At 35.1% G+C, this 26,038-nt stretch overlaps 1 protein-coding gene across 20 annotated transcripts in view, besides 2 other annotated features; it reads right to left on the bottom strand.

Moving 5' to 3' along the window:
• TANC2 (tetratricopeptide repeat, ankyrin repeat and coiled-coil containing 2) overlaps positions 1-26,038 on the bottom strand; it is a 461,469-nt gene that overhangs the window by 339,907 nt on the left and 95,524 nt on the right. For all 20 annotated transcript variants that reach the window (XM_011524597.3, NM_001394998.1, XM_006721810.4 and 17 more), the window contains exon 3: positions 13,783-13,854. In XM_011524597.3, coding sequence (XP_011522899.1) covers positions 13,783-13,854 — 72 coding nt within the window. The remainder of the gene's footprint in view (positions 1-13,782; positions 13,855-26,038) is intronic.
• Positions 20,984-21,500: an enhancer, noted in NCBI's record as "H3K27ac-H3K4me1 hESC enhancer chr17:61143658-61144174 (GRCh37/hg19 assembly coordinates)". NCBI's record gives its function as "activates a minimal SCP1, AML or CMV promoter by ChIP-STARR-seq in primed H9 embryonic stem cells {active_cell/tissue: H9 hESC(primed)}" and the evidence as "EXISTENCE:reporter gene assay evidence [ECO:0000049][PMID:30033119]".
• Positions 21,501-22,018: an enhancer, noted in NCBI's record as "H3K27ac-H3K4me1 hESC enhancer chr17:61143140-61143657 (GRCh37/hg19 assembly coordinates)". NCBI's record gives its function as "activates a minimal SCP1, AML or CMV promoter by ChIP-STARR-seq in primed H9 embryonic stem cells {active_cell/tissue: H9 hESC(primed)}" and the evidence as "EXISTENCE:reporter gene assay evidence [ECO:0000049][PMID:30033119]".

The following is a 26,038-nucleotide window of genomic DNA, read 5'->3' as shown; positions in this document are numbered from 1 at the left end:
CAGAAGTAGGAAAACCTGAACTGTAGTTGATGAATTATTGGAGGCTCAGGCAGACAAGCCTGAGAAATCAAAATTCTGAGGGGACCCAGTTTCAGAGGGGCCCCAATCTTTTGTGAGTTTTATCTCCTGGAGCACTATGAGACTCTCAGTCAGTATTGAGGAAAAATCCACTCCTACTTCCAGGAGGGGCAGAGGAAAGTAACCATTTTGAAATGTACCAGAGAATGGTATTCTTCTTAACCATCAGGAGAAATTATTTTCCCAGAGCTTAACCACACTTGTGAAAGAAAAATACCAAACTTCAGCTTCCTCTAGCCATCCTGTTCCACCTAACTATGAGAAGGGAGAAAAAAAACAAAAAACAAAGAAAAACAAAGAAAAAAACAGAGAAGCACTGGTAAAGTTCATAGGGAAGGGGCACAGGCTCACCAAAAGACAAGAACTTACCAAAGTACTTAGATGCTTCCTTTTCCCACACACCTGAACACTACATTACTAAAGGTTTATTCACCACAGTTCCTTCCACTCAAAACATCATGTCTACCTTTCAGCAAAAAATTGCAAGACACATTAAAAGGCGAAAGATACTGTTGGAAGAGACAGAGCAAGGATTAGAAACACACCCAGTTACAGTGTGTCCGGATTTGGTTCCTTCCGATGGGTTTGTGGTCTCACTGACACAGACCTTCGTGGTGATTGTTACAGCTCTTAAAGGTGGCACGGAACCAAGAGTGACCAGCTGCAAGATTTATTGTGAAGAGCAAAAGAACAAAGCTTCCACAGCACAGAAAGGGACGCCAGTGAGTTGCCGCTGCAGGCTGGGGTGGCCAGCTTTTATTTCCTTATTTGTCCCCGCCCATGTCCTGCTGATTGGTCCATTTTACAGAGTGCTGATTGGTCCATTTTATAGAATGCTGATTGGTGCATTTTACAAACCTCTAGCTAGCTACAGAGCGCTGATTGGTGTGTTTTTACAGAGCACTGATTGGTGCATTTTACAAACCTCTAGCTAGCTACAGAGCACTAATGGGTGTGTTTTACAAACCTCTTGTAAGAGAAAAGTTCTCCAAGTCCCCACTTGACCCAGGAAGTCCAGCTGGCTTCACCTCTCAACAGCAGGGATTAAACACCCTGCTATAAACTGGTTCTGACTATAAATGTAAACAATTATGATTAATATGCTATGGGCTTTCATGAAAAAAAGTAGATAACATGCAAGAACAGATGAGTAATATAAGTAGATGGAACTTCTATGAAAGAATAAGAAAACGTACATCAAAAACATTAGAATAGAAATTAAGAATGCCTTTAATGGCCTCATTAGCAGACTGGACGTGGCTGAGGAAAGAGTCTGAGCTTCAGGATATGTCAATAAAAACATTCAAAACTGAAAAGCAAACAGAAAAAAGAACAGAACACCTAAGAACTGTGGAACCACTACAAAAGGTGTAAATATGCATAATGGGAATAACAGAAGAAGAAATATTTAAGGCAATAATGACTGAAGATTTCCCCAAATTAATGTCAGATACCAAACCATAGACCAGAAAGCTCCGAGTACTCCCAGCAGGATAAATGCCAAACAAACTATGCTTCAGTAAAACACATTCAAACTTCAGAAAATCAAAGAGAAACAAAAACATCTTAAACCAGAGGGAAAAAAACCTTACCTACAGGAAAGCAAAGAAAAAATTATTAATATACCTGATATCTCCTCAGAAACAATACAAGAAAAGATAGAATGAAATAAAGTGGTTAAAAAAAAAACAAACCTAGAATTCTATACCCTGCAGAATCATCCTTCAAAAGTGAAGGAGAAATAAAGACTTTCCCAAACAAAAACAGAAAATTTGTTGCCAGAAGACCTGCCTTGCAAGAAATGTTAAAAGTTCTTCAGAGAAATAAAATGATATAGGTCAGAAAGTCTGATCTACATAAAGAAAGGATAAGCCTTAGAGAATGAATACGTGAAGATAAAGACTTTTTAAAAAATTCTTAATTGTTCTAACACATAAGTTGTTCAAAATAATAATAGCAACAATATATTTGATTATGTATGCTTGTGTGTGCTATGTGTATATGTATAATATACATATACACACACACATACAGACACACATGTGCATGTATGCTTGTGTGTGTGTGAGTAAAATAAATGACAACAATGATATAAGGGATGCCAGGGAGGAATTAGGGATATTTTGTTATTACACAGTATCTGTACTACCTGTGAAATAGTACAGTATTATTTGAAAGTGAACTTAAATTTATGTAAATATATATTGCAAATTTTAGGCAGCCACTAAAAAAGGTGAAAAAAGAAGTGATATAAGAAAGGAAAGAAAATGGAATTATATAAAATTTTGAATTAAAACAACAAATGGCAGAAAAGAGTAGAAGACGAATAGAAACTGTGAAGGGCAACAAACAGAAAATAGTAACAAGTATGGCAGATAATAATCCAACTATATCAATAATCACTTCAAAGGTCAATAATCTAAATATACCAATTAAAAGTCAGAGATTGTAACAATGGGTCAAAAAAACAGACCCAACTAATGTGTTACTTACAAAAAACTAACTTTAAAGGAGTCAATTCCCCAACAAGACTTAACAGTCTTGACTGATGAGTATGTAACAAGAGAGAATCAAAACATGAGGCAAAAATGGATAGAACTACACGGATAAATAGAGGAATATACTATTACACTTGAGACTTTGACAGCCTTCTATCAGAAATGGACAGATCCAGCAGGCAGAAAATCAGTAAGGACACAGTTGAACTCAACAGCACCATCCATCAACTGGTTATAATGGACACCTATGGACTACTTCACATTACAACAGCAGAATACACATTCTTTTCAAGCGCACATGGAATGTTCATTACAAGTGAACACATTCTGGGCAATAAAGTACACCTTAACAAACTCAAAAGAATAGAAATCATACAATGGTTGCTCTAAGACCACAACAGAATTAAACTAGAAATCAATAACAGAAAGATAGCTGAAAAATCCCAAAATACTTGGATAGTAAACACACATTTAAATAACACACAGTTCAAAGAAGAAATCTCAAAAGAAATTTTAAAATATTTTGAACTAAATAAAAATACAACTTTTCAAAATCTGCGGGATGCAGTGATAGACTGAAATTTATAGTGCTTAATATATATTAGAAAAGAAAGATCTAAAATCAATAATCTAAGCATCTATCTTAGGAAACTAGAAAAAGAAGAGCAAATTAAATTCAAAGCAAGCAGAAGAAAAGAAATAATAAAAACTAGAGCAGAAATCAATGAAATTGGAAATGGGAATCAATAGAGAAAAATCAACAAAACCAAGTCCTGGTTCTTTGAAAAGAAAAAAAATTGAAAAGATCAATAAAATTGAGGAGCTTCTAGCCAGGCTAAAAAAGAGAGAGAGAGAAAGAGACACAAATTACTAATCCCAGAAATGAAAGAGGGGTATCACCACAGATTTCATGAACATTAAAAGGATAATACAGGAATATTATAAGCAATTCTACACCCACAATTTGATGACCTAGATAAAATGACCAATTCCTTGAAAAACACAATCTGGCAAAATTCTTACAAGAAAAAATAGACAATCTGAATAGGCCTATAACTATTAAATAAATTTAATCAGTAACTGGTAACCTTCCAAAACAGAAAGCACCAGGCCCAGATGGGTTCACTGGTAAATTCTACTAAACATTTATGGAAGAAATTACACATATTCTCTACAATCTTTTTCAAAAGGTAGAAGCAGAAGGACTACTTCCTAACTTATTCTATAAGGTCAGCATTATCCTAATATGAAAACCAGACAGATACAACAAGAACACTACAGAAATTTCTCTCATGAACGTACGTGCAAAAATTCTCAATAAAATATTTACAAATCAAATCCAAAAATGTATAAAAGGAATTACACACCATGACTAAGTGGTATTTATACCAGGTATGCCAGACTAGCTCAACACTTGAAAATCAATTAACAAAATCAATCACATGAACAGGCTAAAGAAGAAAAATCACATGATCATATCCATATGATCAGATCCATAAAAAGCATTTGACAATATCCAAAAGCCGTCTGAAGACTGAAAACAAATATTATCAGGCAGACTGGGGAAGGAGCACAGAACTTAAAGTTCTGAAGTGGTACTGAGTTTACTATGTTTTTTCCTTGCATTTTACCTGGCTTGGAGAGCTCAAAACTCAGAGAAGTATCTACTGGGTAAGATCAGAAAAAACTCCAAGAGAATCCCTCCCTTTCTGGTCTGAGGACCAGAAAAAGGGGCCCTTATGGCTCCAAGAGACTGGAGGAAATCTCCCCCTTTTTTTCCCTTTCCCCCTTTTCTTCCATCCCAGTTCCCAGGCGGATATGGTAGTGGTGACTGGGCAAGCACCTGAAGTCTGAGAGAAGGGAATCTTTTTCTCTTATCCCAGGAGTTGTGGTCCCAAGGGTGTGAAGTACATCCTCATTGCTGTTGCTTTTTTCTCTGTCTGTTCTCTCATCACTTGGTCTGGATGAAGACACAGCTACAGGAAGTGACTGGCAGAGTAGTTATGTCATGGCTCTGCATGACACGTAGATGACAACAGCACAGCAGCCCCATTCAGGGGTGGTCCTGAAGGAGTGGTGAAGTGAAGAAGTGAAGCCCTCCCTGTGGCAGAAATTTGAGCAGGGCCTGATTGTCCATTTTGATTGTAAGGAGAGATAACAGAGGTACTGTTCTATACTGACTCATGGACAGTGTTTAATGGTTTTACTGGATATTCAGAGACTTGGAACAATTAGAAAACTGATTACAAAGATATCTGGTGTCAAAGAATTTGGCTGTATCTCTTTGAAAGGGAACACACATGAAGTAATCTATGCCCCATGTGAATACCTGACAAAGAGCAAACACAGCAGAGAAGGGGCTGCTTAACCTGGTAAACAAGATGGCCTGTTCTGGGGACTCAGTCAGTCTCAGCCAATGAAAATGGCCTAACCAGCCACTCTACCCTACCCTCATTAACAAAGGGATGGAGTTTATACATGGACTTAGCAAAATGAACTTCCACTCATCAATACTAATCTAAGGCCACAGCTGAATGATCACCCTACAGTCCATACATGTGCCGGGGGACAGGTAGGTACATATGCCAATATATGGTACCATTCATAGGACGATCAGAAAATTACCTCTCTGCTCATTTCTAGCTCCTTGTGATTTCCCCTTCCTTCTTAATAAATCAACTATAAATTTAAAATAAATTTTGTTACATTATTTACCACTTCTGTGTTTATAGTGTGAAGGTTTTCAGGTTTGTCTTATTCTGCCCCCTTGTGGGAACTAGCTCTTCAAACTTTCACTAGGAAAAAAACATTAAAACCAACTGCTCTTCATATGAAACAAAACAAAAAATGTATCAACTCTATAATAATTTTCCCCAGGCTTTACCAATAGATACCTTCCTAATAATTTCTTATCCAACTGTTTATGACCCTTCAAAAAGACTTACAAAGTTTTTTTATAACTTTTATCTCTTACCAGAAAAATTCACATAAGAATATTTTAAAATAAAATCTTTCTAGATGTTCATACCTTTTCTGAACTTCTTTTTTTTGAGATGGAGTCTCGCTCTGTCGCCCAGGCTGGAGTGTAGTGGCAAGACCTTGGCTCACTGCAAGCTCCGCCTCCCGGGTTCATGCCATTCTCCTGCCTCAGCCTCCCAAGTAGCTGGGACTACAGGCGCCCGCCACCACGCCCAGCTAACTTTTTTTTTTTGTATTTTTAGTAGAGACGGGGTTTCACAATGTTAGCCAGGATGGTCTTGATCTCCTGATCTCGTGATCCACCCGCCTTGGGCCTCCCAAAGTGCTGGGATTACAGGCATGAGGCACCGTGCCCGGCCTTCCAAACTTTTTAGTTGTCATGCTTTTATTCCTTTTCTATCATAAAGGTGAATAAGCAAGGAGCGGCTTCTACAAGGCTTCTAGTGTTAATTGGGCCAATTATCATAAGCTAAATAGTCTATTTAATATGTTCTGATACAAAATGTGCTTGGGGCTACGTATTCCAAGAGCTTAAGATTATAAATTAATTATCATAATCACTTTGCAAATCTGAACACTCATATATGCGGAAACAGTGGAATACATAATGGGTTACTTAGACTATCAACCAATATACAGATTTTAAGAAATTAAGAATTTAAGTATGTTCCTGGAGGGATGGCCATGCTATACTGTTAATTGAGAGAGAAGGGGAGAACTAAAACTGCATTTTATTTTTCAAAAACCTTCAAACTGGTTTATATATGCATACGCATCCTTGCATATGCCAGTATGAGCTCAGAGGAAAACATGGAAAGATACAAACTGAATGTAGGTATTTGTTACTTTAGGAGAGTGGAACAGGAAGAAGCCTTAACATATCCTTTTTAAATGTCTACATTGTTTGGTATAAATTAACTTTTTAAAAAATTAATGAAACTATAACAATACATTCTAAGACATATCCCTAACATTCTAAATAATAATGAATTATTGGCCTCAAGTTGGGGCTACGTATTCCAAAAGGCATCTCAAGTTTAATTTTATAAAAATAGTGTTTTAATTTAAAAAATCTACAACAAATTAAATTTCTGAAGAAATACAGAACAAGCAATAAAGATATTTCAGAGGGATTTATCATTTAAGCTCAGATCTTCCAAATATTATCCAACCACCAACAAACAAATATATACTTTATATATCAGAATGAAAAGGTTCTAAATACATGCTACCAACAATACTGATTTGAAACTTGGGATGTAGATAACTATAAAGCCAGAATATAATATAAAATTAATATTTCCTGTAGGAAAATAATAGTACTTTCACAACACTATTCTGATAATTAAATGAGGATTATGCACCTAGTTTACAACCTGGCACATAAACAGAACGGTCTTATTCATTAGTAATGCTACTATACTAGATATATTCTTATACTGAGATAAAGAAATAATACACTGAATATTGAAATAATTTCCTTGTCACTCTACGTAATTAACCACAGTTGGTTCAATAAAGAAATCACTGTAACTTTCCAGACTGAAGAATAATTTGTGTGTTTCAAGAGCATAAACATCTCATTTCTACTAAATATTTTACATATTTGCAAGGAAAGAGGATCAGAATATAGTATATTTGACAATTTAATATACTAGTTCTATTGACACACCAGCATGTATTAATCAAATAAAGTTGGCTACAAATAATGGAAATCATGCAAAGCCACATCGTCCGCATTTTCCCATCTTCCAGCATGAGCTGGTTTCGTGGACATCATTACACCAGTACACATCTTGTACACCAGAACTCAATGCCTGCATAATGCTATTTTTGCAAAAGAAAATAAAAACTGGGTTTCAATCATATCATGCTGGTTCATCTACCCACTTAATGTCTAGAACCAAGTAAGTTGCTTACATATATATGATCACTAATGAAAAAAATCATTTAATGCAGAAAATGGAGCCAGTAAAACAAACAAAAAAACCAACTCTGATAAAGTAACTCAAGATTTCTGAAATACAGAATCCGAATTCCAGGAATTGTAGTTTCCTTCATCAAACTTGATAACCTAAATACAAGGCACTAGCACTGTTCTGTATGCAAAGACCCTGCTATTAATAAACTCTTACATTACTAGGAAAAATGGAGACCCAATAGACAAATAAGACAAAATATAGTAAGTAATATAGTGCAATTATATATAATACGCTATTGGAAAGTAGAAAATAACCACCTAACCTGCGGCAGTCATACTGGGGTTAAACTAACACAATCAGTTTTACAGTCACATTTCAAGAGCCTGTCTCCCATCTCCTACATATAATAAGCAGAAGACATTGGAGGTCTCTGCCCCTAAACTGGAACAGTGAGTATGAGCATGTTTGAGTCAAAATCCACTGTACCAGAGAGACAGATCAGAGACCAAGGAACTTGTTAACACAAAGGAAAGAAAAGGACCCTCATGCACAGAGGGTAAGACATTGGCACAGTCCAACAGACAACATATATTTCTGCTGCTACTGGAGAAGAAACATGAAATAGAAACTGTATCCACAATCAGGCAGGGCAGATTATCAGGCAGTATGCACCTATATGGGGATCAGCTGTCTACAGCTAGCGTTTGTTCTGAATGAACTAGCATCTGTCCTGGTAGGTTGATGTTCATGCATACTAATTTTAAAATATTTTGAGTGCTATCTATATTGTAATAAAACAGAAGGTTAAGATGAAGTAAGCACACTATGCCTTAACTGAATGTAACTAAAACCCCTGAATATAACTGAAAATCCTGGAAAGAATGATGAACCAGCAATCTGAGACTCAGAAAAGAAAACAATAGTGGGCAAACTGTGGAAGAAAACTAGAACTTAAAGTACAACCAGTTCAGCAATGAGTTTCCAGCTGTTTTTTATGTACCCCAAACCCCAAGCCTGAATCCAAATCCTGGAGCTACACACCAGGAACAAACACAAAGAGATACAAAATAAGTCTTCTCTTTCTGGTTAGAAAGTGGGAATGGAGGGCCTCTATATGGGACTGCGTGAATGGGGGAAATCCCCTGGCTTTTTCTTCTTTTACCTTTCTCATCCAGCCCTGTTCCTAAGCAAGCCCATCTCACAACCAGCAGCTATAGCTGAAGAGACACATAAATCTCTGAGGAAGAGGAATTTTTCTTATCAGAGGACCAGTGGTACAAGGAATGTGACAGAACTGCAAGGAGAAATAGACAAATCCACAGTTATAGCCTGAGATTTCAATATTCCTTGCTGTTCAACAAGTAGAAAGAAAATCGGCAAGAAGATAGAAGACTTAAATAACACTATCAATCAACGTGATCAGGTTGACATTTATAGAACCTTCCACCCTAAAACAGCATAATACACTTTCTTTTAAAGCGCACACAGAACAGTTATTAAAATAGATCATTTCCTGGGCCATAAAACAAGTCTTAACAAATTTAAAATGATTCAACCTACAGAAAGTTTGTCCTCTGATCACAATGAAATTTAAGTAAGAATCAATAAGAGAAAGATATCTGAAAAACTTCCAAATGTTTGGAAACTACATCAACATACTTCTAAATAACACATGGGTCAAAGAAAAAATCAAAAGGGTATTTTTGAACTAAATGAAAATACTACTTATCAGAATCTATGTAACTAACTAAAGCAGTAAACAGAAATTTATAACACTAAATTCCTATATTAGAAGAGAAAGCTTTCATATCAATGACCCCAGATTCTACCTTAAGAAACAAGAAAAAGATAAAATTAAACCCAAAGCAGGCAGAAGAAAGAAAATAATAAAGGACAAAGTATAAATCAATGACATAGAAGACAGGAAAGCAATACAGAAACCAAATACAAAACTGATTCTCTGAGATGTATAAAACTGACAAATCTTTGTCCAAAATGATCAGGACAGTGAGAAAGAATACCCAAATTACCAGTATCAGAAATGAGAATGCTTACATCACTACAGATTATGCAGATATTAAAATGTTTCTCAAGAAGAAACACATAATTTTAATAGTCCTATATTTATTAAATAACTTGAATTCACATTTAAAAACCTTCCAGCAAATAAAATTCCAAGCCCAATTAGCTTCTGAGAAATTGTATCAAACAGTTAAGGATGAAATAATATCAATTCTACACGATGTAGCTTAGGAAACTGAAGAGGAGGAAACTGAAGTTGAAACTTCCAACTTATTCTATGAGGCCAGCATTATTCTGATATTAAAACCAGATAAAGACATTAGAAAACAAGAAAATGAAAAGTCAATATTCCATGTGAATATAGATGCAAAAATAATTTAAATTCTTAGCAAATCAAATACACCAACCATACAAAAACAAAGTCACAGGTCAGACTTGCCCTCCTTTAGAGCATTGTTTCCTATCATAATAGTCCAAATCAAATAAATAATGAAGCTATTTGTACCACATAATTAAGTAAACTGATCACGTTTTCTACTGGAGGTGACTGGCTTGGACATCAACTACTCTGGATTCTGCTAAAGAACTGACGACATTATTCTAACATCTCCTTTCTTACACATTATTTATCTTCCCTGTAGTTCAGAACTTTCTTTTGCTTACTATTTTATGTATTTATCACCATTTCAACCTTGAGACTCTCATCAGTTGTCTAAAACTTTTCTAAAGACAATTAATTGCATCAGGTTTCTACCAATCTCATTTTCCTGAAGACCACTCTTCTGGAGGCTTCTAACCCACTCCAATCTGAACTGCTAGCCCTCTATCCCCTTCTTTTTATTGTCATTCTGAAGGATCTTTCTGCTTTATTGACTTTCCTGTCTCTTGTAATTCATTTCTTTCATTTGGCTGACTTTTTCATTTGATGGATCACATCCTCCAACAGATTCCTTAGAAAGTGTATAAGACAGGCAGATTGTTTTTGAAAATGTATACATCTAATTCTATTCTTATATTTGAATAATAGTATCAATGCATATGGAATTCAGAGATTGAAAATTATTTTCCTTCAGAATACTGAAGATGCTGCTTTATTTTTCAGTTTCCAATGCTACGACTGAGAAGTGCAAAGCCAACTCATTCCCTCCCACCCCCCAGAAGCATGAACGATCTGTTTGGCTCCAGTGATTTCAAATTTCACCACAATGTGCCTTAGTTTGGATCTATTTTCATCCATTGTACTAAGCACAAAGTGAGCCTTTTCAATCAGGAAACTTTATGCTCTTCAGTTAAGAAAATTATCTTGAATCATCTTGATGATTTCTTTTCCATTTTCTCTGGTGTTTCTTTTGACAACTATTATTTGAATACTGAAATTCCTGGACTGATCCTGTGATTTTTCTTAACACTCCTCCTTCGTTTCTTATTTTTGTCCTTTTGCTCTATTTTTTCAGAGTTTCTTTCAGCACATTAGTCTCTGATAATTCTACGAAGCTTTTGGTTTTTACTATCAGAATTTCAATGCCTAAGAGCCTTTTTTAAAGTCATAATATCACTCTTTTATGTACTTCTTTCTTGTTTCATGGTTATTTTCTCTTATTTCTGGGGATAATAGTTCTATAATTTTCCTCTGCAAAAATGTATGTCTCTCCAAGTTGTTTTATTCCATTTAACTTCTATCTTTCATACATTTAGAGAGTTTCTTCAAATATCTACTCATCTTTGTTAGCTGCTCATATTTAAGGGCAGGGGACTGAAAAGCTGATTTGGAGCTTTGATACATGGAGTGAGCTAACTGGCCTGTTTATTTCAGGAATCTCTGATGACTAAATTTCCTCTTTCTTCTTTTATCTTCCTTTTTTTGGTCAGATTCTCCAGAAAAGACTTTTTTTTTCCAACCTCCTGCCTGAAATCTGAAGGTCTAACTGCCAGTATTCTGGGAGCCCAGTAGGAGAAAACAGGAGAGAGATATCTAAGGTCCAATTCTCCCATTTTTAGCATGGGACTTCTGCCCTCAACTATGCCTGGTGTCTCCCAGGCTACAGTGTTTCTGGTTTTCCCCACTCCTAAGGATAAATTTTGCTTTTGGTTAGGGGTGAGGAGTTCAGCATTTGCCCAGCTGACTGGTTAGGTGGTTTTGGGGAGGAAGTTCCAGAAACCCAATGCTTCTTCATCTGACTTTCAACCAATTGTCACTGCATCTCCATTTCCACACACTGCCATTCTCAAGCTTTTTGAGACCTCTCGAGGTTGTTTTGTTGATTTCCTCTGCTACTGTTGGAGTTCAGTTTTCAATTATTCATATACTCTCCAGTTTCTAAAACTGTGTTGATACTTTCTCCTTCCAATCCTTCTTTACTGATCTTTCAGTGGGTTTCTCGAGGTAACAAACGTTTTATACTCATCCCATCTTTTACTCCTAATACTATTTCTCATTCATTTCAACTCATTATTGATAGTTTTTTATAATTTTCTTTCTGGCCAGGCGCGGTGGCTCACACCTGTAATCCTAGCACTTTGGGAGGGTGAGGTGAATGGATCACTTGAGGTCAGAAGTTCCGAGACCAGCCTGGCCAATATGGTGAAAACTCATCTCCACTAAAAATACAAAAAAAGCCGGGCCTGTAATCCCATCTACCCAGGAGGCTGAGGCAGGAGAATCGCTTGAACCCGGGAGGCGGAGGTTGCAGTGAGCCAAGATCAAGCCATTGCACTCTGCACTCCAGCCTAGGCGACAAAGCAAGATTCCATATAAAAAAATATATATATTTCTTTTGAATAAAGAGATATTACAAATAAAATCTCTAAAAAGTTAAGAAACATGCTTTTACTATCAATTAACTCTAACAATGATACAATTCCTGGTGACTTCAAATTGAGATCACGTAGTTGTCCTCTGGATCACAGAAATCCCTGGTTTTGTTGTTTGAAGTTTTAGCTTTGTTAATAAAATTCAATTACGCTCATTGATTTGAAAAATATTTTAACTGACAAAGCTCAGAGTAAATTAGATAAGTGATTTCAAACATCTATATTTGATACTTAATAAAATTTGACATTTAATAATTACAATTTTAGTAGTAATTTGTACTAATTTTATTTTTAGAGTTTTACATAATCTCATTTTTATATCAAAATATGTTTACAGGGAAAATAAGAGTGAATAAGATAAATTCCAGACATAGTCATAATACATGCTTATTACTTAAGTATGATTAAGTATTAGCATAAGTTAAAATTTTCAACTCATATTATTCCTCTTTTTAATCTGCAACAAACAGTTTTATAAAAATAGTACAGCTCTAAAAACTGGGAAGAGCAAACTTGGAGAAAAAGAGGGACACGATTATAGAATAAATAAATCTGAAGCTTTTACAGGATTAAAAACTGCACATCTGTAAATCTCAGCTTTATTTTATTTTATGCTATTAAAGATTCTTTGAAAACCAAACTCAATAAATGATTGTCTGAAATTTTATAATCTATTTTTCATCATTTTGGGTTCTCAACTCATTCTCTTTCAGATCATTCATTCACCATTTATTTAGTGACTACTATATACTATGTACTTATTATTGGCACATAAGGATACAGCAGTGAACAAAGCATAAAAATCACTGCTATCACGCAACATCCATTCTAGTTTTGAACAGAGAAAATAAACAGAATAAATAGGAAGGTGGTAAGTACTATAAAGAAAAAGGAATAGAGAGCTGGTGGTCATGCAATGTTAAATAAGTTAGAAAAGGTCTAACTGGGTATTTCACTGACTCAGAATGTTTTTACCTAGTTTTGAAGTTGTCCCTTCAAAAATTAATCAAAGGCCTATGATAATAAATTTTAAATAGAAAAGAAAAATAAGTAGGAAGATCCTAATATAGCAATTACCAACAAAAACCATTTCTTCTGAGACAGCTAAGACAACAAATACTATATTGATGAAATTTAAAAAGCCAGTGTGTGATGATACTCCAACAAATGTTGGTGTTGAAAATTCACTTTTGGATCCATTCCAAAAGTGATATCCAGATATATACCATAATGCTTCAAAATTACTTAAAAGTTAATATCATTTAAAAAAACAGGCACAAGACAATATTTAATTTTCATATATCTTGAATAAATAATATATAGATTTTTACATCATATCATTTAAATCCTAAATGAGAAACTAGAATATCTAAACTATACCATGGCAATATCCTAGTCTCCAAATTAAGTACTAGAAAGAAATATCTATCGTTATTTTTTGAAATTTAATAATCAATCTGATGAAAATTTACCTTGCCCAGAGCGGCTTTGGCGAGAGTCTACACTTGACTGTCTTCGATCCGGTGGTTCCTCGCTCCCTCCATCTGCATAAAATTAAAAGGAGCATAAGCAAATAGATAATGAGATTGACATAACAGTGTCTCTGACATTATCTACATTTAAAACTACTATATCGATCATTTATTTGTATTTCCTATAATCCGGATCATTAAAATATTTGAGGATTTTTCTTATATAAACCAATGGTTCTTACCCTGATTTTTGTGGGTTTACACTCCCCTCTTGAAGTCTTAAGAAAGTGTAGGTGTTTTTCCCCTCCCCCATATGTATATACTCTACTTTGCATATAATGAAGGAAAGTTATCAACACCAAAGTTCAGTCACAGAATTCCAGTTAAGAAGGCCTGATTTAAAACAATCTTTTAAATTAATTACAGCTGCTTTTTCTGTCTAAAGTACAACAGCACATCAAATAATCCCTAGTACTGTTTTACTATAATAAGAATTACATTCGTATGTTTTATGAAATAAAAATCAATAAACCTATAAAATAAATCAATAAAAGCTAAAAACCAAATAAATCTTGAGTTTATTTTACCATGATTTTTAAAATTATATAGAAACAAATCCATTTCATTGTATACATCTTCTTTTAAGAAATAACCAAAACAGTATATTCCCTCATGCATGTTAAGAAAAGCTAAAACAAATTTTACTTTATTGTAAATAATTGCCTCAATTTTGTTATATAGAAACAGAAAAATTATGCATCATAAATTCATTAAAATAGGCACAGTAAAACAGAAATTAATATATTAAGAATGTAAAGTATAATATAAAATATGAAACTAAACCAAGCAAAATCTTTAACATAGTGGTCTATACACCTATAAATTTGTTATCACTTTAATCAGATGAAAAATGCATTAAGGCATCAAACAATTTCCTTTGTTCGTTCTTTCATACAATCACTTGTCTTATTTTTAACTTGACAGGGAAAAGGGGTAGTAGCTGCAAGCAGGTTTAATAAAGAGTATTCTTGCTCTGTCATCTACTTATTCTATGGTTTATTGTTTTTAATAGAGCTCGTGTAGTAACATCTATTGCTTTTTAAACAGAATGGCCTGTTTTTTAATTCATTATTGATATAAAGCTTCCTTTTAAGTATATTTATTATATGTAAGGCCTAGCAATAATTAAATCCAATTCATGTATATATATCAACTATTCTCTATTTTGTAGAGGGCTGTTAAACTAGCAAGTACAGTAACATTTAATCAATCGATTCCAAATATACGACGACAATACAAAATAATAAGTACATTGCCAGGAAATATTCATATCTCTTAGTCCACAGTAATCTAGTAAAACACTCCACTAATTTAGTCAGATTTGTAAAATAACTTATCACATAGAAAGATACTCAAAGTGATAGGCAACCATATTTTTTCCTCCAGTATGAAAATACTTTTTAAATATAAATCAGTTTATTTTAGTTCTGCTGTTACTATATAAGTTACCACATTTGAATAAAAATAGACATGTTGACAAAATAAGGTGTTATCTGAAAGACAAATATAAGAAATTTTTCTTTGACATTATTTTTAAAAATTAAAGCAAAAATCTACTCATGGATTATCATCTCTGAATGGCTGATCTGCCTCTGTTGAAATTAAAACTTAAATTCTTTAATTTTGTCCTTTTAAAGGAAATGTGAACATTTACAATCCTTCTTAACTGTATATCAAATTCTAAGTAAACAACTCTATAAATATGGATTCTTTTTAATAAGGCTCAGTATTTCAACTGGGCCAACTCAAATTTAATTTCTAAGTTTTAAACCCTCTAGGATTCCTTCTACCTCACTCTCTTGTGAATTAATATTCAATATGTCCAAAAATCCTAAAGTTTTCTCTTCTTTCTAAAATGTATTTAAGAACAGAAAGGCAGCCAATAATTACTATGTACTCTCTGCCAGGTATTTTACATAGTTCATCAAAGCCCTATGAAGTAAAGACCTATTTCACAGCTGAGAACACTGAAACTCATGGTGACTAACTGAAATCCAATGACAAAACCAGTAAAAATGAAACTGGATTTTAACCCAAGGATGTTTGACTCAATACATCTCTCTGATACTAATTTCTACCCAAATTTATTAAATATTTTGAGTTCAATTCATGTTCCCGTTTTATTCTTTTCTCATAAAAACGATGTTAAAAAAGCACTAATCAGTAACTATAGCAATTATTCCTTTACAGAATAGAGGCATTCTAACAAAGCAGGTTATGAAGACTTAGTCTTACAATATAACCTTCCTATGTGCTTCCAATATAAAATCAAAAGATATATTCTCTAAAGAAAAAAAAATGTTTTTCCCAAAAGCCATGTTTGGTGTCTCTGTCTATTCATTCTACTAAAAGAGAGCTTCTCTTGACAATCAACTGGCCACAACCAAAATAAAGTACCTCAGTAGGAATTCTGGTACACTGCCAACCCTATAACCCTCCCTCTCCAGGTCTATATTACTGCTCCTTTCTAATGAAGACCACTATTTAAGAAATTCTAGGGCTGAGCAAAATGATTCACACCTGTAATCCCAGCACTTTGGGAGCCCAAGGTGGGAGGATCGCTTGAGGCCAGGAATTTGAGGTTACAATGAGCTATGCTATGATCACACCACCACACTCCAATTAGGTGACAAGGGGAGACCTTGACTCTTTAAAAAAAAAAATTCTACACTCTATTAAGAAAATTTGGCACCTGACATTCTGTATACCCATGCTTAGGTAACTAAAGTCCCTATCATGCATCTATTCCCCACATCTATGAAATCTATCACAGCAAGCTTAGGTATACATGCTTTACAAGGAATTCAAGAAAAAAGCTGCTCTAACAAGAAAAGAAGTAAGTAAAAGTAGTTCTTTCTAAATGCTTACAGTGTGAAAATACGATACATTTTCTTTTTAGTGAAAAGGTCAATGCTCATGACACTGATATATGAATTACTCTTATCAAATCAACCACTTGAGATGGAAACATTTTTAACTCACCTATAGTGAGGCACAATGTTAACCTGCATGTGCTGTCATAGAAATTACATTGTGAGAAACAACTAAGAACCCTGACCTGCTTAATGTTTTTTAAAAAAATCTTTAAACACATTTACCTAGAATAATTTGCATTTTAAAAAGATACCCCTTATAGTAGTGTAGAGACTAGGGTGGTGGTTTTCGATACTGGATGAACAAACACATGTGGTTCTACTCTAATAAAATTTTCTTTATGGACACTAAAATTTTCATTTCATATAATTTATATGTCACAAAATATTATTATCCTTTTAATTTTTTTTAACCATTTACAAATATAAAAACCATTCTTAGATTATGGGCCCTACAAAAACTAGGAGTGACCTAGATTTGGCCAGTGGGAAATGACCCCTGATCTAAAGGCAGGGAGATTAGTTTAGAAGGCTAATTAGAGCAATCTCTGTGAAAAGGAATGAGTTGAATGACTTGAGAGTAAGGCCAGTAAGGATGAGAAGGCGGCTCTGCAAATGATGTCCGGCCTAGGGGCCATTGAAAGTTTAATGGCTGCATGGGCTCAAGGACCCTTTTCTTGGCTCTCTCTAGGTGATCCTTTAGTGAGTAAAATGTAAAATTCCCAAAAAACCACCCCAAATGAATGGAATACCTGACTGCTTAATTACATGTTACATCTCAATCTTCTCTGTGCCCAAGAAAGGCTCTTGCGAGGTGACTAAAAGTGCACAATGCACTGTGAAAGAGATTTTTTTTCCCCTTAAGTTTATGGTTTTTATTCTAAATAAACATTGTTGAAAACCACAATATCTAGATTATGTGGTAATATCATTTCCTATTTTCATGAAAAACTAATGTGTACATAATTTCTACAGTCTGAATTTGATACTTGGGTTTGAAACCAAAATTATATTTTGAATATGAAAATCCATTTATAAAAATTTCTGTAAACAAGTATTTTACATAAACACTTCATGATAGTTAATAAGGAAATAAAAGCAGCCCAGCAAAAGTTTCTATTGGTAACCTATTTTCTCCAAATGCAGAATGAAAATATGGCATGTCAAAAAAGACAGACCCAGGCAAAACAGAAGAATACAACAGTCCTCTGTAGAGGACCTACTCCTTTTATTTAATTTGTAATTATTTATAAGAAGTTTTCATGAAAAAAGCACAATGGAACCCAGTAATCACTAAGATGCCTGAGACAGACATCAACAAATTACTAGAGGAGATATGAAATAATATGCCTGTGAATGAAATACAAAAATAAGAAACTTTTTAGAATGTTTAATTTGTATTCTACTTTTAGTAAGGTTACCAGGAAATGTGTGGGAATATATACTCATGTACATACAAATGAACAAAAAGTCAGTATGTGGGCATAATAAGACCTGAGTTTTAGTTCCATATCTGTCATTTTTAGATGATTTCTCTGAGTCTCAGTGTTTTCATCTGTAAAACTGAGGTCAAAGTAACATCTTCTTCTGAAGGCTGTTGTGAGGTTCAAATGAGCTAACACATGTGACAGCACTTTGTAGTCTCTAAATTGGTGATTTTCAACCAGGAGCAAACCACGGACTTCTAGGGACATTTTTGGTTGTTACAATTGGAAGAGTGCTACTCATTTCTAAAGGGCAGAGGCTAGGGATGCTGCTAAATATTCTAGAATTCACAGGACTGCCTACCACCACAAAGAATTATCAGGCCTCAGATTTCAACAGTGCCAATAGCTGAGAAATATGTTCATAATGTAAATGTTCATAACAATCATAATTATCAAAATTATATACAAATAAGTTAATTATCTTATTGTAAATAAATTTAATATATAGAAAATACGGTGAAAAATATAACTCACACTGATATAGCAACTATCAAACTTCACCAAATCTTAAGATTTCCCATATTTACATCAATTTGTTTTAAACTAAAACACTACCAGTTGTACACAGCTGATATTTTCATTATACAGTTCTCCAATACAGTTTCCCTTCTTCCATCCCTCCCCAAATTAACCGCTATATCTTAATATGTAAAATCACAAGCATGTTTTTATACTTTTATTACATATATATGCCTCCACAAATGTTTATATTACGTAAGTGTAATGATACTATATCATCCAGCAATGTGCCATTTTTACTTAATACTTATGTTTTGAAATTTATCTGTGTGGACGTTCATTTTAACTCTAGAATTCATTTTAACTCTAGAATAAAAACATGCATGTTTTTATACTTTTATTACATATATATGCCTCCACAAATGTTTATACTATGTAAGTGTAATGAAACTATATCATCCAGCAATGTGCCATTTTTACTTAATACTTATGTTTTGAAATTTATCTGTCGAATTCATTTTAACTCTAGTATTCCACTGTATGAATATATCAATTGTATCTATTCTCTTACTAATGAAGATTTAGATAGTCTCCAAATTTATAGTACTTCAAAAGGAAGTCTGCAATGAACCATTTCCTATAGCACATGTCTAATCTGCTTGTATATAAGCTCCTTGTGCACATGTTCAAGATATAGAAGCGAAACTACTAAATAATATAATGCAAAAACTCCATAAGAGCAACCAAATTTCTGCCAAAGACAGTTGCGTTAATTTTTATTTCCACAAAAAGTTAATGTTCCCATTTCCTCACAATCTCACGAATACTACTCAGGTTTTTTTCATTTCTGCTAAACAACGCGAATTGGTATCTGATTCTTGTTTAATTTGCCTTTCCCTCATTAATAATGAAGCTGAGCATATGTTTTACTGGCCATTTGGTGTGTGTATATTCTTGTTTATATCCTCTGCCTATTTTTGCCACAACTTTCTGATCTGCACGTTTTCTGATGAGAAATCTACAGTCATTCAAATTGTTGTTCCCCTCTAGGTAATGTGTTATTTCTCTCGGGCTGCTTTCAAGACTTTTTCTTCATCTTTAGTCTTCAGCAGATTGATCACATAGTGATAGAGTATGAATTTCTTTGCATTTATCCTATTAAGGATTCAGTCAGCTTCCTGAATCTGTAAACTTGTGCTGTTTACCAAATTTGACAAATTCCCAGCTATAAGTTCTTCAAATATTATTTTAACACCACATTTTTCCTTCTCTTTTTCTGGAACTCCAATGTTATGAATCTAGATCTTCTGTTATTATCCTACAGATCCCTGTGGTTCTCTTCCCCGCCATCCCCTGCTTTTCTCTCTATTGTTTAGATTTGGATAATTTCTATGGATCTGTCTTCAAGTTCACTAACTCCTTCTGCAGTCACTTCCATTATGCTACTGAACCCATCAAGTTTGCTTCTTGTTTGGGTCTTTATATTTAGTATTTCTAAAATTTTCATTAGGTTCTTCTTTATATATCTCCTATTTCTTTCTTAAGACTTTATTTTTCCTTTCATTTCAAGAAGGTTCACATGATTGCTTGTTGGAGTATTTTTTAATTTTTTTCCCATTGGGAATTTATTTATTATTATTTTTAATAAAATAAAAAATAGGGTGTTGATTTAATTTCATACATGAGAGATAAAAATTTAAGACTTTTCAGGCTGAAATATGTTACACTTCAGAAGAGAGGCATCAATTGTTATAGTAACAATAAAAGGTTTCCTTCATTATTTCACCCCAAAGAGAAGCATTTTTATAATAGTTGCATTAAAATCTTTGTCAGATAATTCCAATATCTTGGTCATCTCTTGGAGTTGGTATCTGTTGTCTTTTCCCTTGCAAATTGCTATTTTCCTAGTTCTTTCTGTATCAATTTCATATGTAATTTGTATGTCAATCTTTGTATATAATTTTGGTTGCATCCGGACATTATGAATGTTTTGAGTTATGAAACTCCAAGTCTTCTTTAATACTACAGGAAATGTTAGTTACATTTTTCAAAGCCTTTGCTATTGATATCTGTACTGCCTGTGTACCCTGAAGTGGTCAGTCAGGGTGCTGGGCAGTGATCTGTTAGGTCAGTTCTAAAGTCCATGGTATGACAATTAGGACCAAATTCACACCTGTGAAGTTCAGGGGTGACTCCAGGAGCTCATAAAAACTTAATGGGGTTGACTTTGAGGTGCCCCTCACAGCAATCTTTTCAGCACTTTCCATTTCCCTAAGACTCCTCTTTTGGTACCCTGACAAACCTAGGGCTATAGTAACCTTGCTCTGCATGTACTTCATGACTATATCTGTGTCTGGAGCACAGTGCTAGGAAGAATGAAAAAAAAAAAAGCTTTCATTAATAATCTAAAGAATGGCCTGACAACTCTTGGTACTATAGCTCCACCAGAGAGGATGGTTCCCCTTTCTCAGTATTTTGGCTTATGTGAATTCTTGATGTTACCACTAAGGTCGGGGGTTGGGGCAGCAGAAAATAAAACAACAGGAAAGGGGTGGTGAGCATTTGGCATATTCTGAGTGTTGAGTTCCTTTCTCATTCCTCAAAACAGATTTAGAGGGCTTCCACTGTAGATATCTCTTTTTGTGCCCTGGTCACCACTCCTAGCTTTTGAACTACAATGTAAACCTAGCCTCCACGCCTGCCCCAGTGCCAGGTGAGCCCCGACAGCTTCAGGCTCCAGGCTAGACCCTGCAGCCCCATGCTCCAGACCTGCCCTACCACCAGGCTGGCCCCACATACCCAGGGCTCCAGACCTATCTCACCGCCAGGCCATTCCAAGGGACCTGATGCTATAGGCAGGCTCCTAACTACTCAGACTCCAGGCCAGCCACAGGCTCCACACTAGCCCCAGAACCAGGCCAGCTCTCAAAGTCCCAAGCTTCAGACCCACCCTTTGCCAGGCTAGCATCTGTGGCCCCAGGATCCAGGCCTGACCCTGAGGGCCAAGGCTCCAGCTGACCCAGGTCCAGGCCCATCCCAATAGACCCTGACAACAGGACGTACCTTGCAGGCCCAGGCTACAGGACCAAGACTTGACTCACAGACAACAAGCAGGAGGATCACTTAAGCCTGGGAGGTCAAGACTGCAGTGAGCCATGATCGCACCACTGGGTGCAATCTGTCACCCACTGCACTCCAGTCTGGGCGACAGAGCAAGACCCTGTCTCAAAGAAAGAAAAAAGAAAAAAACCTTCTGCACAGCAAAGAAAACAATCAACAGAGTGAAGAGATAACCTACAAAATGGAAAAAATATTTGCAAACCATACATCTGATAAGAAGCTAGTATTCAAAATATACAAGGAACTCAATTCAATAGCAAGAGAACAAATTATCTTATTTAAAAATGGGCAAAGAACCTGAATAGACATTTCTCTAAAGAAGACATATAAAGAGCCCACAGGTGTATATATAAACATGCCCAACAGCACTAACCATCAGAGAAATGCAGATTAAAACCACAATAAGCTACCACCTCATACATAATTAATAAGACAAAAGATAAATGTTGCTAGGGATGTGGAGAAAAGGGAACTCTTGTACACTGTTGGTAGTAATATAAAATTAGTACAGCGATTATAGAAAACAGTATGGAGGTTCCTTAAAAATTTTAAAATAAAACTACCATGTGATTCAAGAATTCCCACTTTTGGGTATATATCTGAAGGAAATTAAATCAGTATGTCAAAAAGATATCTGCACTCTCTCGCATATTCATTACAACACTGTTCACAATAGCCAAGAGATATGGAATCAACCTAAGTGTTCATCAACCAATGAATGGATAAAGAAAATGTGGTGAATGTGTGGGTGAATACACAATGTAATACTATTCAGTCTTAAGAAAGAAGAAAATTCTGTCATTTGCAACAACATGGGTGAACCAGGAGGACATCATGCTATGTAAACTAAGTCAAGCACAAAAAGATAAATACTCCATTGTCTCACTTATATGTGGAACCTAAAAAAGTCAAAATAACTGAAACAGAGTAGAATGGTGGTTGTTAGGGGCTTGGAGGGAGCAGGGGTGTGCAGGGAGAAACGGGGAAATGCTGCTCAAAGGGTATTGAGTTTAGTTTGATAGGAGAAATGGGTGCCGGAAATCTATTGTACAGAATGGTGACTATAGTAAATAATAGTGCACTGCATAATTCTTTAAATTGCTGAGAGTACAGATATTAAATATTCTCCACAAAAAGCAAAAAAAAAAAAGTTTGAGACATTAGATAGGTTAACTAGCTTGATTTAATCCTTTCACAATTCATACATATATCAAAACATCACATTGTATGTCATAAATATATACTTTTATTTTTAAATTATAACTTAATATACAATAAACAGTATATAAAGATTAATAGATTATCCAGAGACAATAAAATCCACAATAATTTTTGTATTCCAACCATTTGAAAAGGAATATATTTAAAAAGATGGAAATATATAAAAGGAAAATTGTAAAAAGGCTCTATAAGGAGTTTATCATTGAATAGGACAGGCATTTATGTATCAATATTAGATCAAGCTTAAGAGATTAAGAGATACTTTAAAAGTAATTCTGAGAGTCTCCTAGTGAAATGACTGTATAATTGTTTGTTTTTGTATGTTTGTTTGTTTTTCAGATAGGGTCTCGCTCTGTCACCCACAACGGAATACAGTGGTGTGATAATGGCTCATTGCAGCTTTGAGCTCCTGGGCTCAAGTGATCCTCTCATCTCAGCCTCCTGAGTAGCTGGGACCACAGGCACACCAAGACAGCTGGCTAACTTTTTTTTGTAATTTTTGTAAAGAACAGGGTTTCACTATGTTGCTCAGGCTGGTCTCAAAATTCTTGGGCTCAAGCAATCCTTTCGCCTCAGCCTCTCAAACGGCTAGGATTACAGGTGTGAGCCACTGTGCCTGGCCCCAGTATTTTTTAATATAAAGACTATAATTCTTATACCTCCCAAATTGAATGGAACCAAATTACTTTTACTTTTTCATTCTATCAGACTTCTTTGAATTAATTATATGACTGATTCATGTCATTTTACAGTTATACAGCATTAGCAATCATTATGTAGAACCTGTCCATATATATATTGAAGATTACATACTCAGTAGATGTCCAGCATCTTTAAAAGCTCAGAATATAGATAAAAGCCCACATATTTTAAACATGTCAGACACTGATGGAAGACACCTTAGTTAAGAACTCTGGGCCATCAAAAAATTATAGAGAAAATCGTGAAAAGGTAGTGGCAGTGGAACAGTTTTTGGATCTTCCAAAATTCCAACGTAAGTATCATCAGAACAATAACAGAGAGTAAAACAACTACCCAGGAACAAGAATTACAATACTGGGTAACAAAGTGTGATATTGTAAGAGATATATCTCTACACACACACACACACACACACACAATACTGGGTAACAAAGTGTGATATTGTAAGAGATGTATCTCTACACACACACACACACAATACTGGGTAACGAAGTGTGATACTGTAAGAGATATATCTACACACACACACACACACACACACACACACACACACACACACACGTCTTTGTCCCAGTTTCTGACACAGGCCTCTTAATCTTTTGGAATTTCCTGGGTGACGGGAGTGTCCTTTGTTCTAATGAGTTAATTCTTGGTGGGCTCCTGGATGGGGGCTGGTCACCAGAAAGACCAAGCCATGATTAGAAGCTAGGAACTTTCAGCCCATCATGCCCCATCCTCCTGGAAGGAGAGAAGGACTAGAGATTTAATTAACAGTCCAACATGCCTACGTGACGAAGCCGCCATAAAAATTCCTGAACTACAGAGTTTGGGAACTTCTGGGTTGCTGAATATGTGCACAGTGGTGTGCCCCCAAGGGGGCATGGAAGCTCCGGGCTCTTTATCCAATACCCTGCCTTAAGCATCTCTATCATCTGGCTGTTCCTGAGTCATATTGTTTTATAATAAACAGCTAAACATGTGTAAAGTGTTTCCCTGAGTTCTATGAGACATTCTAGCAAATGCTCAAACCTGAGGAAGGGGTTGTGGGGACCTCCAATTTTTTTCCTTGTCAGAAATACTAGAAACTCAGACTTGCAACTGGCATCTGAAGTGACTGTCATGTTTGTGGGACTGAGCCCTTAACCAATGGGATTTGACTCTAAACTCTAAGTAGCCAGAATTGAATTGAATTATAGGACACCTGATTGGTGTCTTCAGAGAATTGAAGAATTGCGTGGTGGGGAAAAAATGCCCCCACACATCTGGTCACAGAAGTGCTCTGTATGAAGAGTATAGTAGAAGAATACTGTTGGATTTTCCTTTGTACAAAAGGTATCCTTGCAAACCCTAAAATATAAATGGGTATTGCTAAGAACAAACAAAACAGCTATAGACCTGAAACTTAATGAGCATCTAAATGAGACAAAATGGGGAGGAGGGGGCTGGGGAGCAATAGGGTGTATGACAGACCACGAAACTGGCAATCACTAGAATGCAACTCACCGGAAAATACAAAGAATTAATTTGATAACACCAGCTGACAATGAAAGGTGTTTGCCCACTCTAAGAACAAATGAGTACATGGGGCCTGCAGTAGAAAGTTCAGAAGAGGCTGGACCAGTTTAGCCATGTGTACTCTTGAAACTGATGTGCCAAGCTACGGCTCCATGCTAAAAAGAAAGTCCTAGAAGTGGAATGAAAATTCAGCAGAAAATGGACAAAAGGGACAAAGAAAAGAGAAAGTCTAAATCAAAGTACAAGAGGAGAACAGTGCTAGAAGGCAAGCTGCAATGTAACACTTCACAAAAAAACAACAAAAGAGAAAGCTATGTGGAGTTAGAAAAAGCTATCATGACATGTCTCCTTATACATACTTGGGTAAACTAATTTTAAACAAAAATGATCAACAAGAAAGCATCAGGGTCAAATCCCAAAGACAGGAAAGGAAAGAAAGAGAATAAAAAGCATCGTAATACCTCCAATGAAACTACACCAAAAAGGCTTATTAAAAAAAATTAAAGCTGTAATATACAATTCAAAACTGTAATGTGCAATTTCAAAAAGTTCTAAAAATGTTAAGAAAATTAGATAACACATCAAAGAGCAATACAAATCAGAATCAGAAAAACTCAGAAATGAAGAGACAGAAATCAGAAAAGAATTATAAATAAAATTCATTTCAGTAATGAAGACTAAACTAGAAGAAACGCAAGATCAAATAAACAAAATGATCTTAAGAGAAAGAGAAGGTTAAAGGGAGGAAAGTTTTTAACAAATAAAGAGAAGAAAGGGATTAAAAAGGATTTGCAGGAAAGTGACAAATACTGAAGACAG

This window comes from Homo sapiens, chromosome 17 (genome assembly GCF_000001405.40).
Source record: "Homo sapiens chromosome 17, GRCh38.p14 Primary Assembly".
Classification (NCBI taxonomy): Eukaryota; Metazoa; Chordata; class Mammalia; order Primates; family Hominidae; genus Homo; species Homo sapiens.
The sequence above is the reverse complement of the archived record's forward strand: the minus strand, read 5'-3'. Positions and strand labels throughout refer to the sequence as shown.